The sequence below is a fragment of the Homo sapiens genome, chromosome 2 (assembly GCF_000001405.40).
Source record: "Homo sapiens chromosome 2, GRCh38.p14 Primary Assembly".
Taxonomy (NCBI): Eukaryota; Metazoa; Chordata; class Mammalia; order Primates; family Hominidae; genus Homo; species Homo sapiens.
The window spans coordinates 37,780,528-37,800,180 of NC_000002.12; the positions used below are offsets into that span (position 1 = coordinate 37,780,528).

The 19,653-nt window shown below is 40.8% G+C and overlaps 1 long non-coding RNA gene across 1 annotated transcript in view; it reads left to right on the forward strand.

The window, feature by feature from the left end:
* Positions 1–9,773, forward strand: part of LOC107985869 (uncharacterized) — a 46,872-nt gene extending 37,099 nt beyond the window's left edge. The window contains exon 3 of the long non-coding RNA XR_001739409.2: positions 4,663–9,773. This is a non-coding gene — a long non-coding RNA (uncharacterized LOC107985869). The remainder of the gene's footprint in view (positions 1–4,662) is intronic.
* Positions 9,774–19,653: the final 9,880 nt, after the last annotated feature.

Sequence of the window (19,653 nt, forward strand, 5' to 3'; positions counted from 1 at the left end):
GCAGCTAGTACTTTGTGTTTGGCCCTGCTTTTCTAGAACCTTCGTTTGGGGTACTTCTGTCTCCTACCAGACTGCAAGCTCCCCAGGGCAGGGAATTCATCTTTGCCTTACTCACACAACCTGGCCACACTCATTAAGTTCATTAGAGGGTGCCCAAGCAACATTGGTTGAATTAATGAATGAAACATAATGAAATACAATGCATCTAATTTTCCAGCTTGGCAGCAGCTGGCAAAACTTAAAAGCTGAAGTTATCAAGGAATGGGCTAACTCATAAAACACTTCAGCCCTCTTTACCCCTTTTTGGTCCAGGTAACACCGGTGATCACAGTAGCTCTTTGTGTGCATTGTTAATGACAAGAGTCTAAACATGCAAGTCTCTCTTTTTATCCATGATTTTTTTTTTCCTGAGATAGAATCACTTTATCATGCAATGAAGCTATATGAAGGTAAGATGCCTGAGAGAGTGTTTACCTTGCTAGAAAATATTTAGACGTGTGTTGAATGACTGATTTCGAGGTCCAACTCTGCATCCTTCTTCAAGAGACCTCTCGGGTGAGAGAGCAATGAATAGTGGCCCTTGGCTACCGTGTTGGGTCTGCACGGCTTTCAGGGGAGATGGCCACTCTTTATTGACAGGCATTTCCCTTATTTAACCACATGTTCCATGCACAGATGGTATTTATCTTCAGGAGATGACTCACGCCCTTGTCAACATACCTTTCTATATTAAATATCCCTATCACATACAAACTGGACCTCAGAGTGGGCTGGGTGGTATTAGAACAATCTCTTCCCCCTTTTTAGAAGCTGTGAAGATTTTTGAATTTACTCACAAGATCTACTTCCCAATGAACTAAGACTTTGTAGGATTTTCCTATTTAAGATCTGGGTTTAAACTCAGCTCTTCCATTTAACTGGCTATGTGGTCTTAAGATTACTGTCTCTGTGCCTCTATTTAATTACTTATAAAGTGAGAGCAATTTTCCTGATCTTATAGAGTCACTGAGAAGATTAAGTGAGGTAGTGGCACTGAGAAAGTTTGAAGCAAATATTTTTTGAATAAATAAATGACTAAAACAATAATATAAATGTTAAAAATCATCAACCAATTCAGTGTGTATAATGAGGCTTATTATTTACTGAGTGATCCCCGTGCATAAAGAATAGCTCTAAGTTCTTAAACCCATACCACCTTGTAGTTAAGGAATTAGAATGTAAGCCTACATCTTGTGGGTGGGCACCCAAGGCCACACTCTTAACTTCTACCTGCACTGCCTCTTCTTATTTGTAATAAATGTAATAAACTCCTTTTGGCACTAAATACTGCCCTGGAAAAAATGGTCAGCTTCTTCAACTGCGGCTGCCTTTACGCTAATGTAACTGAGGTTCTTAGAGTTTTATAACTTACTGAGCGAAATAAAAAAAAAAAAAATACCCTTATGACACCTTGGTTTCTGCACTAAGTAATTAATGACAAATTTGAGGATCAGGTATCTAGCTTCTGTTACCTGATATTCTGAGCTGAGAATGCATCAGACTCAGGCCTCAGAAATAACTTCACTGAGAGTAAAATGGGAACAAGTTTCTAGTTAGTGAAAACTGGAGCATATGATGACTTGACTGTACACGTGGGGGCAAATAGCAGTCCTCTCTCTCCCATTTCTGGAAAGGGTTTCGTTTCTCTTGGGCCCAGTATTTTCCTGGGTTCTGATAGCCTCTGCTGACTTTGAACTCATCCTCTGTCATTGTAAAAAAGTATACAAGCATTTGCTCAGAACTGTGCTAGACTCTGTGTGATTGCTTCAAGACAGCTCTATCAAAATAAGAGTTATCACTTATTATGAGGCTGTGATGCTCTAGGGACTATGCTAAGTGCTTCATGTATTTTTATAGTCAGGGTAGGCTAGTTTATGCTGTGGCAACAAACAACTCCCAAATCTTAGTAGCTAACAATGAGCTTACTTCTCAATCTCACTAAATGTTCAGTGCCGGTTGGCTGGGGGCTCCACTCCACCTCGCCTCACACAGTGACCTGGAATAACAGAGCTTCCACCATCAAATGTGTTACTGGTCTCCCGGAGTCCCACCTCTAGAATTCTTGCATACAATATCGAAAAGTCTCCCGAACTTTCGTAACTTTGCCATCTTGGGCTCTTAAAGAAAACACTAATTGTATGTTTTGAAATCCAGAAAAGGAAAGGAGTGAGGGATGTTAAGATCAGTCACTCCAGCGATGGCTTAAGCCTCCCCTGGCACAGGCCCCAGGGGTGAGCTTGCTTCTGTGGATTTCCAGCCGGGAAGCACCACCCCGGTTTATTTTCAGAGGTGGAAACTCAAGCAACAATTATCTCCCATCACAGCAAATTAAAAGCCCAGGCTCACCCATCCCAGGAGCGGGGCGAGCACAGGACCATAATGACAGGCCAAGGTTAGTGCATTTCCTTTAAAGGCATGAGCCACTCATGAAACACAAAATAAACAGAGACATAAAAGTCCATGGAAAAGGCCCACAAGTGAGAGCAAGCGTTCGTGCCAAGATCAGAGAGTGTATTTTGATTTTTCAGGAGATTGAGGATTGTAGCAGCAAAAACTGCTCAGTGGATGAGTTGTGGTCTGTGTTTAGGATAATGTGGAAGCTATTGTGTACAACACTGCAGAGGGTGGGGGACGAGTGGCCCAATCTGTCACACAGACATATTTCTATGGCCTTAGAGCCCGGTCTACTTCCACCCACTCTAACCAGAATCTCTATTCCTGCCTGGACACCTGCTCAATGGAGCAGTGCGGCCCTGCTGGCCAGAGCTTCTGCTTGGAATGCCTCTCCTCTCTTATTTTTTTTATTTTTTTTTTTTTTATTTTTTTTTTTTTTTGAGACAGAGTCTCACCACTCTGTTGCCCAGGCTGGAGTGCAGTGGCATGATCTTGACTCACTGCAACCTCCACCTACCAGGTTCAAGTGACTCTCCTACCTCAGCCTCCCGAGTATCTGGGATTATAAGTGTCCACCACCACGCCTGGCTAATTTTTTATTTTTAGTAGAGATAGCGTTTCCTCATGTTGGCCAGCCTGGTCTCGAACTCCTGACCTCAGGTGATCCGCCTGCCTTGGCCTCTCAAAGTGCTGGGATTACAGGCATGAGCCACTGTGCCCAGCCTCCTCTCTTATAGTCTATGCCAGCATCATTGACAGGAACTTAGCCAAAACTCACCTCTTTCAGGAAGTCCTCCAGGACTAATGCTTCTGGGTTCTACGACCCTCCTGTTGCAGGTTGTTTATATATAGCTGTCTCTGCTACTTAATGTCAGTGAAGATTTGTGGTTGTGTCAGTTTTTTGGGGGAGTTCTTTTGAGCTTTGTTATCATATAAGATCTTCAGGAGTATAGATTTTTATTTTTCTTTATATTTATGCTACACACGTTTAACTTCCAAAAAACATTTTCTCATGCACCACCTAATTTTATCTTCAGTATCACCTAGTGAGGTGGGTAGGGATTCCATATGACAGTTAGGAACTTATATAGCAAGATGGCTAGGAGTATGGGCTTTGGCTTGGGCAGGTTTCTAATCTCTCTAAGCCCCAATTCTCTCATCTGTAAAACAGGGATAAAAATAGTTTCTGCCCATAGGTTATTTTAAGGATTAAATGAGATAACACAGGTAACATGCTTACCTCACACAATAAAATTGTTGTTGTTTTAATGATGATGGAACTCAGGCTCAGAGAAGTAAATATACAAGAGGTGGCTCAGTGTGGTATGGAAAGCACCTGGGCTTTGCATCCAGCATGCTCAGGAAATGACTGAATAAAATAACTGGATGCTTTAAAAAAAAAAAAAAAAGAAAAGAAAAGGGCTTGGAGGCAACAGATTCTGATGATATCTGACATGTGGTGACTTTGGAAAACCACTTTGCCTCTCTGGACCTCGGTTTCTTCATCTTTTAAATATGAAAAAAATATATCATGTGTCACATATGTGGTGGGGGGTTTGAGAGGATTCATTCAAAAGTACTTTTGAAAGCATAATGTAAACTGTGGCATGCCTCAGAAATGTTAATTTAATTAACCTGCTTAAATTCATGCAACAGGTCCATGCTGGAGCCAGATTGCCTTATCCCTGGTGTCATCTCCAGCAGGCTGAGTCCCCTTGGAGCCTCCATAAATGCTGCTGGCTGGCTGGCGGGGCACATGGGTGGGCTGCGTACCACACTCCAAGCACTTAGCATTGAGCAGTGGTGGCTCCAGCTGGCAGCCTCACCCTCTCTCCTCCCCACACTCATGGACATTGAAATTGTGTAGAGAAAGCAGAGCTCAGAAACCAGAGCCATTTCTGCTCTCCCTGACTCCTTCACCTCATCTCTGCTGTTGACAAAGAGAACAAGAGGGGCAGTGAGAGAGATTTAACTATGACGTTGGTGCAGAAGTAATCGCGGGTTACATTAAAAGTCATGCCAAAACCCGTGATTACTTTTGCACCAACCTAATAAAACGGATCCTAGTGCATTAGGGATGGTGGCACTGGGACTGAACCTAAGAAGGAAGGGAGGACTCTTAGAATCCACACAGCAACCTGCATCCCAAAGCATGTGGATTTTACTAGTGTTTTCCCATTGGCCCATGGACTAACTTTTCAGAAACCAGCTTCTTTTTTTGATTTTCAGGGAGAATGTGGTTTGTTTTCACTGCATGAAGTCACTTCGGCCTTCTTCCCTGTCTGTGGGCAAGTTCAGGGTAGAAACTACCAGGTACTCTGAGAACTACGCCATGGACTTCCCTGCTCAGAGAAGAACAATCTGCTTCTGACGTTTCACTTTGGTTGTAAAGGACTTCAGGGATTATCTCAGCCTCTTCAAACCAAAATTCCTCTGAAATGCTTAAATTGGCCCAGATAGGGTCAGGTCTGGAATAATCAGTTCAGCTTATGCTGAAATACTTTATTTCCATCCTGCCTGCTTCCACATCCACTTTTCTGAGCATTATTTCCTCCAGAACAATTTAGAGATCTCTGAGGAGCTGATTAGATGATGATGAGGTGAGCATGCTCCCACCACATGGCCACAAGGATTGATAGAGATCAAGGACTGAGAGGTTTGGCCCCAAGCTTGACTGAGGATGATGTCGGGGATATTCCCAAGACCCTCTCTCAGACACAGATGGTCTGACCCTTTATTGGTCATAAGGATGAAGTGGAAGTTAATGAGACTCTCAGCTTGGAACTCCCTGGATGTAAGATTATAGCATATCTGTTTATCCAAAGAATTACGTGTGTCAGAGCAGTAGGTCTTCACAAATTCATTAGGTTTATAACAATCAACCATAGTTACAGGAGAAAGATGCTGTGAGCTCCCTTTATACCCCTGTTCAGTATCTGTACAATCTTACCCTCTAAACGTATTCCTTCTGTCTCACCTTAATCATGTATTGCTTATCTATTTCCTCACAACAGTCTACCTCAAAATTTGTGGCCTACAATGGCAACCATGTAAACCATGTATTTGCTTATGCTTCTGTAATTTGGACCAGGTTCAGCTGGGCAGTTCCTCTGCCAGTCTCACCCGAGGTCATGTTCACTGCAGTCAGTTGGCAGGTGAAGGTGTGGGGAGTTGGAGAAAGACTCACTGGTCCCAGCCAGCCTCAATCACATGTGTTGGGCCTCAGTGGAGATGACTGGAACTACTGCGATGAGTAGGACACTCTCTCCATGTGATCACTCATCCTCAAGGAGACCAGTCTGGGTTTTCTTAAGCCTGGGAGTCACAGGGCATCAAGAAGGTGAAAGCAGACACTCAGGGCTCAATATCACTTCTGCCACATTCCATTGATCAAAGCACATCATAGTGCCAGCCAAAATTCAAGGGGCAGAGGAAATAGACTCTGCCTTTTATTGGATGACAAATTAACATTGCAAAGAAGCATGTATCTAGGAATGGAAGAAATTTCTGGGGCCATCCTCATAATATATCACAGTCACTAAAGCTGCATATTTATAAATTATTCCTTTCACCCTTTAGAAATGGCCTGTTCCTTATTGGCAAGGGCAGATGGAGACTCCAATTGGGATGACTCATTTAAGTGGGGCTATAGAATGAACATTTTTATGGAATGTCAACTGTGTGTAAGCATTGTATACATATAATCCTATTTAATTCTCAAAACAACTTCATGATAGGTCTTACCTCCATTTTATTACTAAGAAAGCTGATGTTCAGGGTGAGTTAATGAATTACTGAACGTAACTCAGTTGTCATGGAGGGAGTTGAGGATTTCTTCACCTGTAAAATGGGAATCATAATACTTACCACCAGCATAGTTGGTAGGATGAAATTAAGTGCTTTGTGTGGAAGTGGCTGGTAAACCCCAAAGCACTGTACAAATGTTAATTTTCATTTTCATTGAGCCAAGCAGACATTTTGAGGGGAGGAGTGTTGTCTAGGAAGGCGCCAGAGTCATCTGAGCCAGACACCAACTGTTGTGTGTCTCTCAGCTGCTATTTACTTTGGCTTCAGACCAAATCCTTCATGCAATGCCTTTGGCGGTCACAGACGAGAAAGAGCCCTGTGGGCCAGGCTGGCAAGCCAGGACATGCTACAGGTGAAGACAGACACGCTTCCATTGGAAAAAGGAAGAAACTGAAACAAAGCTCTAAGTGCCTTGCTGCTATCCTCAACTACTCCGGTTGCAAGGATTTTTAATATTTCACTCAAGGTCACATACACAACCTTGAATTGCTCTGAACCTACTTTCTCCCAACTCTTCTTTTCACTAAATCTCATCCCAATTCTTTCCAAACCTCATTCTCTCATCATTATCCCATCTGCATCTTCAATCTATACACCCAATGTTTCCTCCCCCTCCTTGTCTTATTTGGATTCTGTAAGACCTAATTCTTACAGGGACCAGGAGGGAGGGTCAGCCTTTTGCAAAGTCAGCCTTCACCAGTCTTCTCTTTGCACATCTACCATCTACCTAAACTAAGATCTCTTCCTCCTTTGAGGTTTAGGCTGCTCAGATACACCATGTTCTTTTTGCCTGCCTTGTTGCTGTCATCTGTTGACCTCCCATCAGTCACTACCATCCTTCTTTGGGAGTTCTGGCATCTCACTCATAGCCTACCTGCCGTCACCAAGGACAACTTCAACACTCATTGAACATCCTGGACTCAGAATTCCTCAACTTTTACAACCCCATTATGCTTCATCCAAGACAGCTGAATACCATCCATCCACCGGTGAAAAAGGCTGCATTGCATTGCAGATTGACTAGTTCAACTCACAGAAATTGTTCACAAAAAATGCCTAATGCAGGTGACAAAAGAAAAGTCAAATTTGGAGTCAGGAAATCTGGTTTTAGAGTCTTATCTCAACTCCTTACCAAGTGTTGAAAATTGAATAGGGTACACCTTCTCTAAACCTGAGTTTTCTCATACTTAAAAATGAGGAATAATAGTTTCTATAACACTAGGACATAGTAAAAACCAAATGGGATCTAGAGTGGAAAAAAATTATAAACTGTAGGATACTCAACAAATATCACTATAAACCCTTGAAAGAAAATGTTTATGATTGTATAAATTATATGAATCCAATTTTTTTGTGTTAAGCCAAAAATGAAAAGAGAACAAAAATCATGAATTCTGGTTCAGATGATGGATTGAATGCATTCTTCTATTTTCACTCCATCCCAAACTCCTGGATATTTTAAATCAAGAGTGAGAAGAATGAGAAAAGAGACAATTATAGCAATGTATTGGAAGCATGTGGTAAATAATAACAAAACAGAGAAAACTACATCCTTGGGCAGCTTTGGGAAAGCAGAGAGGGAACTGGATTTATACTACAAAATTTCCAAAACAATCAGCTGCCAGAACACTGGAAGCCAGGCGTTCACCTTACAGGCAGAAGATTGGACATACCTTCTCTGGGAAACCTGACTAGCTCAAGAGGAAACATCTTAAGATATTGACATTGGGAGTTCCAGCCAGATCACCCTATAAAGAAACTATATTCAACAAGACCCATCCATGTTTTGAAGCCTTTAATCAGTTTTTTAGTGCCTCAAACATGTAAACATAAGCAAAGACCATCAGACATATGAGGAAAGCTTCTAATGTGAGCAATAGAAATACTACTGGTTTTTGTATGTTGATTTGTTTCTTGTAACTTTACTGCATTCATTTATTCTAACAAGTTTTTGTGTGTGTGTGTGTGACAGTTTTAGGGTTTCCTAGAAAGAAAATCATGTCATCTATGAGCAGAGACAATTTAACTTTTTCCTAATTTGGATACCTTTTATTTTTCTTGCCTAATTGCTTTGGCTAGGATTTCCAGTATTATGTTGAATAGAAATGGTGAGAGTGGGCATCCTTGTCTTGTTCCAGATCTTAGAGGAAAAGTTTTTAACTTTGCACTAGTATGATGTTAGCTGTGGGCTTGTTATATATGGCATTTATTGTGTTGAAGTACATTATCTAGTTTGTTGAGTTTGTATCATGAAAAGATGTTGAACTTTGTCAAATGCTTTTTGTGCATCTACTGAGATAATCATATGTTTTTTCCTTCATTCTGTTAATGCAGTATATTACAATTATTGATTTGCATATGTCAAACTATCTTTGCATCCCAAAGATAAATCCCACTTGATTATGGTGAATGGTCTTTTTAATGTGCTATTGAATTTGGTTTGCTCATATTTTGTGGAAGATTTTTGCATCTTTGTTCATTAGGCATATAGGCCTGTAATTGTCTTTTCTTGCTGTGTCGTTGTCTGGCTTTGGTGTCAGGGTAATGTTGGCTTGTAAAATGAGTTCAGAAGAATTCCTCCTCTTCAATTTTTTTGGAAGAGCTTGAGAAAACTGGTATTAATTCTTCTTTAAATGTTTGGTAGAATTTAGCCTTGAAGCAATCCCTGAGTTTTTCTTTGATGGAATATTTTTATTTCTGGTTCAATCTCCTTACTCATTATTGATCTGTTCAGATTTTCTATTTCTTCATGATTCAGTCTTAGTATGTTATATGTTTCCAGGAATTTACCCATTTCTTCTAGGTTATCGAATTTGCTGCTGTGTAATTATTCATAGTAGTCCCTTATGATTCTGTGTATTTCTGTGGTATCAGTTGTAATGTTCCCTCTTTCACTTCTAATTTTACTTATTTTTCTTTGTTAATCTAGCTAAAGTTTTGTCAATTTTGTTTATGTTTTTGAAAACCAATTATTCACTTTGTTTATCTATTGTTTTCTAGTCTCTATTTCATTTATTTCTGCTCTGATCTTTGTTATTTCCTTTGTTCTTCTAATTTTGGGTTTAATTTTTACTTTTTTCTTGTTTACTGAGGTATGACATTAAGTTGTTTATTTGAGATGCTTCTTTTTTAATGTAGGCATGTATTGCTGTAAACTTTCCTCTTAGAAACTGCTTTTGCTGCATCCTATAAGTCTCAGAATGTTGTGTTTCCATCTTCATTTGTCTCAAGATATTTTTAAATTTTCCTTTACATTTCTTCTTTGACCCATTGGTTGATTGTTCAGGAGCATGTCATTTAATTTCCACATATTTGTGAATTGTCCAGAATTCCTCCTGTTATTAATTTTTATCATACCATTGTGGTTAGAAAAGATACTTGATATTATTTCAATCTTCTTAAATTTGTTGAGACTTGTTTTGTGGCCTAACATATGATCTATCCTGGAGAATGTCTCAAGTGCACTTGAGAAGAATGTGTATCCTGCTTCTGTTGGTTGGAAAGAAACACAAAAATAAATCAATTTAGAGGAAGTGAAGATTTTGTAAGAGAAAAGAGCATATGTACAATCATGTGCTGTATAACTACGTTTGGGTCAGTAACAGGCTGCATATATCATGATGGTCCCGTAGGATTATAATGCCTGTGTATTTTTTTACTGTAACTTTTCTATGTATAAATATGTTTAAATACACAAATACCATTATGTTACCATTATGTTACAATTGCCTACAGTACTCAGTACAATAATATGCTGTACAGATTTGTAGCCTAGGTGTAATAGGCTGTACCATATAGCCTAGGTGTATAGTAATCTACACTATCTAGGTTTGTGTAAGTACACTCTACGATGTTTTCACAACAATGAAATCACCTACCCATCCATTTCTCAGATATATCCCTGCTGTTAAGTGACACATGACTGTATATGTACATTCCAGTCCTATGTCAATATCTTTAGGGAGAAGACATTGCAATCATGAAACAACGTCAGGACGGTTTATTAAAAAGAAATAGTCATAGAGAAAAAAGAGCTCTTAGAAATTAAAAATATGAGAATCAAACTAAAAAACTCTACAGAGGGATTGAAAGGTAAAATTGAAGAAATCTTTCAGCAAATAGAGCAAAAAGATAAGGAGATGGAAAATAGAAGGAAAAAAGAAAAAATAGTTTAAGAAGTCAAATATGCAAACAATAGGTGACACAGATAAAGGGAATAGATAAAATCAGGGAAGAAAATCAACACATAAATTATTTAAGAAAACTTTCCAGAATTGAAAGACATGAGTTACCACACTGAAAGAACCACAGAGTGCCCAACCCAATGAATAAAAACATACCAATATCACTGTAAATTATTATGAAACTTTAGAATGCTGGGGACAAAGATAAGATACAACAGGGTTTCAGAGAGAAAATACACTTACAAAGAAACAGGAGTTAGAATTTTATCATACTTTGCAGTTGCAATGTTGGAAGTTAGAACTACGGAGCAATACCTTCAAAATTCTGAGCAAAAACAATCTACAACCTGAAATTCTATACTCAGACAAACCATCAGTAAAATGGGATAGAATAAGAACATTCTCAGACATGCATGATTTCAAAAAATGTACTTTCTATCCATCCTTTCTTAAGAAGTTTCTGTAAGGTGTGCTCCATCATAACAGGGGATTAAGCCAAAAAGAAAAGGACATGGGGTACAGGAAAGAGAAGATCCAACACAGTATAAAGGCCAAAGATATGCCCAGGATGATATGGAAGGGTGAGCCAGGACAGCAGTTATAATACCAGACCATATAGGAACAGGCCAGAAGGCTCCAGGAGATTCTCTGAGATGAAATTGACTGACCATCAATACGTTTGAACATACGGGCAGGAGATTGGGACAACTGGTGAAGAGTTTGAAGTTACTTTAATGTAAGTATATAGAAAACCAAGCAAGCAAAAAGACCAAAAATAATTATTAACTCTAGGGAAAATAAAAGGTTGTTCAGGAAAGGAAAAATGTTTACAACATGGTTCAGCTGTGGAAACCACTAACATAGTTATAAAAATGTAACCTCTGAATAGTGATTCAACCAAAATTATAACTGCAATGGAAGGATGGGGAAACTGAAAAAGTGTGTGGTGGTTGGTGGGGAGGAGGAATGAAAGAGAACTAAATTCTCTGTCTTCCATCATGGTAGGAAATCAATAAATAATGCCTAAAAATGAAAACCCCAAAAGTAGCAATACAAGCATGTATGGACGGTCAGTCATTTCAGCTGAAAATCATTGCTTCTGGGAAAGGGAAAGTGAAGGTGGGGAAGCTGATAATTTTTGTAACAAACCTGGTGAAATAGTTTAATTTAATAAAATACACATGAGTAACTTTGACATAAACATTTAAAAAATTTTAAATAGTGTAGATGATCCTCCCTGCCATTCCACTTATAAGGCTGTTTATGCCCAAGGGTAAGAGTGAGACCAGGGAAACAGCTCTGCTTACCACCCAACCCCCACCTTCATTGCTTCAGCTCCTGCAAGTCTCTCATGTCAGGATTGTCAAAGGTGATGTTGACAACACCTGATTTTGCCCTACATGCTGACTTTAGAACCTAATGCCTGATTAAGAGATGCCTACTCTATATGAGAGGGGCTTCCTGCCTTCAAAGAGAGGTTATTCTATAACAACCTCTCTAGTTCCTTCCAACTCCTAGACAGGGCATAAAAATATGCAAAACCAACTGGAGTTATACAGACTCCTGCCCAAGGGCCTATGGGGTTGATGAATGACTGGTGTGGCTGGAGCCAAGGAGAGGTCACGGAAGGCACTATGGAGGAAGCTGTCAGCTCTGTCAACATATTCTGCTTCTTAAAACTGTGCACCAGAGTGGGAGGAGGGAAAGGATCAGGAAAAATAACTAATAGGTACTAGGCTTAATATCTGAGTGATGAAATAATCTGTACAACAAACCCCCATGACAGAAGTTTACCTGTATAACAAACCTGCACATGTACCCCTGGACTTAAAAGTTAAAAAAAGAAAAAGAAAAGCTAGTATTAGAAAAAACTGCACCAGCCATCCTATTGTTGTATTAACTTAAAGCATGTCTGAATTGAGGTTTTTTAAAATTTTCCTTGTTTTCCATGTAGTTGAGCACACAAAGTCACAGCTGAAGAAATTATGTTTTCAGCATCCAGTACTGAGGCATTGTATTAGGCTGTTCTTGTGTTGCTATAAAGAAATATTTGAGGCTGGGTAACTTATAAAGAAAAAAGGTTTAATTGGCTCACAGTTCTGCAGGCTGTACAAGCACAGCTCCAGCATCCTCCATCTATGGCCTCAGGAAGCTTACAATCATGGTGGAAGGGAAGGGAAGCCAGCATGTCACATGGTGAGAGTGGGAGCAAGAGAGGGGAGGTGCCACACTCTTCTAAACCACCAGATCTTGTGTAAACTACCAGAGTGAGAACTCACTCATAACCAAGGGCAGAGCTTCTAAGCCATTCTTGAGAGATCCGCCCCCATGATCCAAACACCTCCCACCAGGCTCCACCTCCAACATTGAAAATCACATTTCAACCTGAGATTTGAAGGGGACAAACATCCAAACCATATCAGGCATTATATAATAAAAGAAGTCTGTGTCTGCTGTCCAGCTGAAATGCCTCATAATAAGGAGAGGGGTTCCAACAGTCATCAAAGATGCCAAATTGCAAGCAGCAAGTGGATAAGTAATAGGACTCAGGCTTTTTGATTTCCTTGGCTATATCTTTAATTCGACTTCCACCTGTCTCACTGTTGGCTACCAGTGGGACTACCAGAAATCACAGGAGTGCAGCATCTGTGGCAAGGCAGAAGCAAACAAGAGATGAAGGGGATGTAAGTCTTGAAGCAGTAGTTGGTTCTTTGGCAAAACAAGTATCTTGTGATAACTTCATTCCAAGCATTAACATATCTTGTGCCAAAAAATGTAAAATGCCAAAGTGAAAGAAAAGCACTAGACTTCTTAAGGGTCTCATCCAAGAACCCTCTTAAACCTCATTCAAATGCAGTTGTTTCCCTTATCAACTCCAAATGTGTTCAGTGTTCCTCCCTACCCATGGAGGAGTGCTCAGGTTTCTTTCAGGCTGTGATCCAAGCTTGCAAAGAGCCAGTGTCGGGCATGCTGACTTAGAATACCCCATTCTCTGGTCTAGCCACCCCCATGAGATGGCATTTTTGCATGAACAACATGAGGATCCAATGGCTTTCTTCGGGGGGCATTTCAACAAGGCTACAGTTGTGGTAGGAGACACTGTGCATTCAAGTTAATGAAATCTCTCCATCATGCCTTAAGGAAGATAATATATCTGCCCGAGGCATTGTGTAGGTGTGTTAGTACAGATTCTCTGGGAAACAGACTCAGGGGGTGGAGATAGGAGTGTAAGAGATTTATTGGGAAGTGAAGTCTGTGAAAGATAAAAGGGGAGAGAGTAGCATGGGGCATAGAAAGTCTTCAGACTGTGATGAATGTCTGATATCTGAAATGCAAGGGAAGAGGAAACAAAATGGGGCCAGGAAAACCTCAGCTCAACCCAATGGAAACCCTAGAACACAGATGGTCACTAGAAGAGTTCCACATTGGGCAGAAATGGACACACCCTAGTGCCCCCACCAAGCTCAGTCATTGCCTGGGAGCTGCAGCAGAGCGTGGAATCAGTTCCAATGCCCAGGATGCAATCTGAAGGCACTGCCGATGGAGGCTGTTCACTAACTGCACTTTGTACAGCTGAGCATCAGATTCTTTTTTTTTTTTTAATATAGAAATGGGGTCTCAGTATGTTGCCCAGGGTGGTCTCAAACTCCTGGGCTCAAGCGATCATCAGCAACTGTTATATAATGTTCTATTATGTCTCAGGCTCTAAGCTTGATCTATATCCACAAAGAGTTCACAGTTTAAAAATCAAGTAATTAAAACAATACATGATAAGAACTAACAGAAATGCATGTGAATTATTGCAGAAGCTCAGGGGAAGGAAGGAGAAAAATATGAAATGATTTAAGCATTTGTTTTACCCTTGAGAAAGGACCCTGTCAATCTACTGCATATAACACCAACTCTAGTATGTGTGTTGCTCAACTGAGCTTCCAAAGTGGTTTGGTATAGTTAGGCAGCTGATTATTAGTAACTTTCTCTGGAGCAGAAAGTTGAAAAGGAGGTCAAGGTCTCAGTTTCTAAGTTTAGACCACACTGGGATTCAAACCAGTCCATTTTTAGAAAATGAAGCACTTACCCCACCTCAATCAAACTGGACTTCAACTCCAAGTGGAGAATGTCAGGCAGATTTCAGCTATGGAAATGGAAAGGTTATGAGCTCCTAGATAATTTTGCTACTCAAAAAGCTAGGAGATGGCTTTTTCCCATTGGGATTTCTTTTGGTAGCATAGACTTGATGCCCAGGAGTGTAAATGATGATCAAAGACTTCAGGTGTTCAACCAACCCCTGATGTGCATGGCTCTAGGGTAAGGATCTATGGCAGATATTGGGGAACGGAGTAGGGTGCAAAACACGGCCCCTACCATGTTAAGGAGCAGATAGTAGTAGGTTTTGAAAATTCTGCTAGCTCCCATGGAGCTCTCCTTGGTTCTATGACTGTCTTCAGTCTTTTCTGATATCTCTGATCATGACAACCTCAGACTGTTTGAGTCTGCATCTTGCCTGGGCCTTGACTATTACCCTGAGCCCTACTGCCTCCAGACTACCTAACTGTTCAGAGTTTCTAGCTTGTTACTGCTATGACCCTCATTGGCTTAAGACTGTATTGCCTTAAGACTACCTGAAGTCATTATGCCCACGTGACCTAAGGGGTGGAAGTCCCATTATCCTCACAGGTGTAGAATGGGATCAGATCAAGTCCTCATACCATCCATATTAATGTGTAATTATCTACAGTGGCTCAGAAATCAGTGGCATTCTCTGAACACCTGTCATGCATGTCTTGAGATGTTTTTATAATTACAGGGAAAGTAGGTCCATCCTATGTAAATTAATAGAAAACCAACTTCCAAGTGCACAATGACTTACAGTCTTAATGCAGAAAAAAATACTGCATCTTAATGCAGAACAAAATATTCAAAAATGTATTATAGTTCATTGTCAAAGCTTACCCTTTGTTTCCCTGTTCTGAGAGGGGTAATAGGAATTCTGTTATGTTTTCTTTATTCTTTTCCTTTTCAGCCCATGGTTTTTATATTTTAGCTACAAATCATCCCATTGGTAAAAGAGGCTCTATTATGAACCACATGCTTCGTCAAAAGTAAACCTCACATTCTTTTCTAATTGTTGCACCCTGACAGGGCGGGGAAGATAGTTTTGTTTTCATAGTGAAGTCACAGATATAAATCTCCCAGGGATTAAGGCCCTTGCAGCAATCCAGCATGCTCACATCATCATGAGGGGTGCTTCAGGTTCATTTCTTTCTGGGAAGGAGAGACAGAGAGAGAGAGAAAGATGGGGTGTGGAGAGATTTCTTTTAGAAGAGTCAAATTCTGGAGGAGAGCAGAACATTTGTCAGCCCCCAGCTCAATGTTGACCACTCCACTGGGGGCCAAAAGTTACAGGTCTTAACCTAACCTTGCATCTAAACTAGGCAAACTTCTTCGATTTTTTTTTCTTTTGTTCTCCTTAGAATCTAATCATGGTATTTCCTCCTTCTCCCTCTCCCTGTCTCCTGTGCTTAATTTGTTTGGTTGTTTGTTTTAACCTGCAGTCTACAGTGATAGGGAAGAAAGAGCGCTGACCTTGGAGTTAGAAAGAGTCAGGTTCAAATCCTTTTTCCTCTGCTTTCTAGCTCTGTACTCTTTGGTGCTTGTGCTGAGCCTGTTTCAACAGCTGTTGCAGAGGAATCGTAATTTTACAAGATTATTGGGGGAACCAAATGACATAACATAAATAGGTGTCTGGCACAGAGGCCCTGAATAAAATCCACCAGTTTCCGCTGCCCTGACTAAATGGTCTCCTGAAACAGGACTCACAACCAGCAGTCCACTCCAAGAGCTCACCTCCCCAGAGCGAGGATAGTTGATTTGGAAACAGAAGTCAGCTGCCATGATCAGCTATGAAGGTCCAAGCTTAAGATGAAAACTCCTCAGCTTGATTGCAAAAATCAGCCACCATGTACCTCTCAACTGAATCCAAGCTGAAGGCTTCTGCAGAAGTGAAAGAATCCATTTGTTCTTCCCTTGCTCCTCTCCCTGTATTTGCAGGGCCTGACATTGTCCCAGGGAAATTAAATTAGGAAAATCAGTTTACATGAGTGATTACTTTTCTCAAAATATTTTCCTTTAGCCTACTGAACCACCATACTCTCTCTATCCCTATTCCTCCCTCCCTCTACACTTCAGCCTCTTCACTTCCTGCCAAAATCATTGTTGCTAAAAACAATCACGTTTAAAATGGCCTAAAGGATTCTTAAATGAGATGAACTGCTTGCATCATTCAAACGAAGACTAGAAATCCCAAGAACACCCTTTGCGGTGATGAATCATGTGGAAACTCCTCAGCCTGTGGTTCCAGGGCTCCCTCATTTGGCCCTCACTCAGTTTCCATCTTCAGATTTAGCTGGGTTCTGGAGTGAACCTTGTCCCAAGGAGGTTGGCCTCCCCAGCTCTCCCTCCTTGCCCTTACTCCTCCCTCTCAGGCCCAGTTTGAATTTCTCCTCTTTGACTTTCCACATAAAATTCCCACCCATCCCTCCAGGCCCATCACAAGCTCTCTCCACCGCCCCACCTTCCGGCGGCACATACACGCTTCAGATTCAGAGGGGTTTAGGTTCAAACCCCCTCTCTGCTACTTATTAGTTAATGAAACTTTGAGCAACTCACTCACACTTTCCTTGTCTCAGATTTCACATCTGCAAAGTGGGGATAACAACACCTCACCGTGTTGTTGGAAAGATTAAATGAGAGACTGTAGAGCACAGAGGCTGTAAGTAGTAATCAATAAATAAGGGCCATTATTATTATCCTCTCAAAATATCTGCCACACCTCTAACTTATTTGTCAGCTAATGGCAGTGCTCCACCACTTGGCCATAATAATATTTTGTTCATGACCAACTGTGGAGATTTTGTGAAAACTTTTATCTTGGAAGAATTTCTCATTGAGGAATATGTAAACCTTATGAGAAAAATTGGATTAGGAAAGCTGAGGTCACGCATAAATCTATAAAATTCATGGCAAATAAGATTATATTCATTAAAGTCAGTAAAGGCAGAATATTAAACAATGAGACTATAGTAATATTTTATGCATATCGAGTTAGTGATGATTGATTTCCATTCACCGTTTCCTGCTTACCAGAAACTTTTCTGGGACTCTTTGGCTATGCAGTGTTAAAATGATGCCTATATATTCAGTTTGTTCTGTAACAGATAATGCCGACTTGAAGAGGCACCCTGTCTGTGCCTGTTTCTCCACCCAAACATTTCATGCATTTTTGACTTGATGGTTTGGAGCTATTGATTCCAGGTATGCCTTCCAATTATTCTTCCCCCAGTCTGTTTTACACCATCTCAGCACCCTTGAAGAAACTGACCCATGCCTGCCTACTGACCATGGGGGACCAGAATTATCCTTCCTCCCTTCCATCTTTCTTTTCCCTGCTTCCTCAAACAAAGAGCACCCAGTGTTTGGAGGAAGAGTGAAGCCAGTTTTCACTGAAGGGCTTCTGTCTTGTTCTCAAAGCTTACCCAACCAAAGAGAGGAAATCAAGCATTGTGGGCCCACTCTAGTTCCTCTTTCCTTTACAATGCACAAAAGGTGAGACCTCACTGCCCAGGCCCTTTAGGGTGTTCCTTGAGGACATGCCCTTTCTTCTTCACCCACCCTTCTTTCTCTTCCCCTCCTTCCACCCTCTGCCTTTTTCCCCATGTCCCCCTTTGCCATTTTAATGCCTCTACTTTCCCCATTTTTTTCCAGGGAACATTTTCCTTCCTATAAAAATAATTTGACTCCAGGCCCTAAGATTCTTCTAGTGATTGGGCAGTTTTGGCTGTGTCAGGCATTCTCAGGATGCCTCTGGCTTTCCTCCCCACTGACTGCAGACTCCTGGGAGGAGAGGGAGAAGAGGGGTCTAGGCTTCTCAATGGGGAAAAGGTATGGGAACTTCTTCTCTTAACTGAGATTTCTTCTCCCAAATTCCTGAAATTAAACACACCTCACCTTAGGGATTTGTTTATCTTCAAAGACTCCCAGTTGGGTTCAATTTTTTATACTTCTAGTAACATAACATAGCTGTTTCTCATGAGAACCTATGGCCCTGACATTGTGCCATTACAAAGGTTTCTTTTAAAAGGTGAACATACAAGGTGCCATGCTTAGATTGCTTCTCCCTAAACAGTAGGTTTTTACAAATATTTTTTCTATATCCTCTATTTTTTTCTATAACTACAGAGGTACAGAAAGGTGGCAAGGGGGAAAAAAGCCTCAGTTTACCCTGCTATGCTTACAACCCTAACAAACCTAACTACTACATTCCCTATTAGAAGCTAAATCTTGGAACTGCTCAAAAGAAACATGGAAATGAAAGTGAATTCATATAGGCCAAGATATCTCATTAGGGAAGAAAAAAGGCTATTGATAATGTAATAATCTCTATTTTTTTTATTTTTATTTATTTTATTTTTTTTTTTTTTGGAGCTGGAGTTGTGTTCTTGTCATCCAGGCTGGAGTGCAATGGTGCAATCTTGGCTCACTGCAACCTCCGCCTCCTGGGTTCAAGCGATTCTCCTGCCTCAGCCTCCTGAGTAGCTGGGATTACAAGCACTGCCACCATGCCCAGCTAATTTTTGTATTTTTAGTAGAGACGGGGTTTCGCCACATTGGCCAGGCTAGTCTCAAACTCCTGATCTCAGGTGATCCACCCACCTTGGCCTCCCAAAGTGCTGGGATTACAGGTGTGAGCCACCGCTCCTGGCCTCTAATTTTATTTATCTAACAAAGGATACTTTACTGTATTAGGATACTTGGCTATTGAATATAATGCTGTCCTATTCCATATATATTTCCCAAATATCTATTTGTGTGTATGTGTGTGTGTGTGTGTGTGTGTGTGTGTGTCTGTGTGTATCTCCATATAAAATTGTTCTATATATATTTTCCTTCTACTCCTAGATGACAAAGTTCTTATGGGCAGGGACCAGATCTTACATTTCTTTTGTACCTCCATGGGCCACTTCCCTTCAAAAAAGTATTTTTTGAGAGCGGATTCTGCACCAGTGGATTGGAGAGGTGTCTCTGAGCTCTGTTATCCTGACCATAGCTGCTTGAACCAGGGGTCAGCACCCAACCCCCAAACAGCCATCTATAGGTTGGCCAGCATCAAAGAAAAGTTGGCTTCATGAGACAGCTTTGCCCCCACCTGGGTGGTGATAGATCAAAAGAT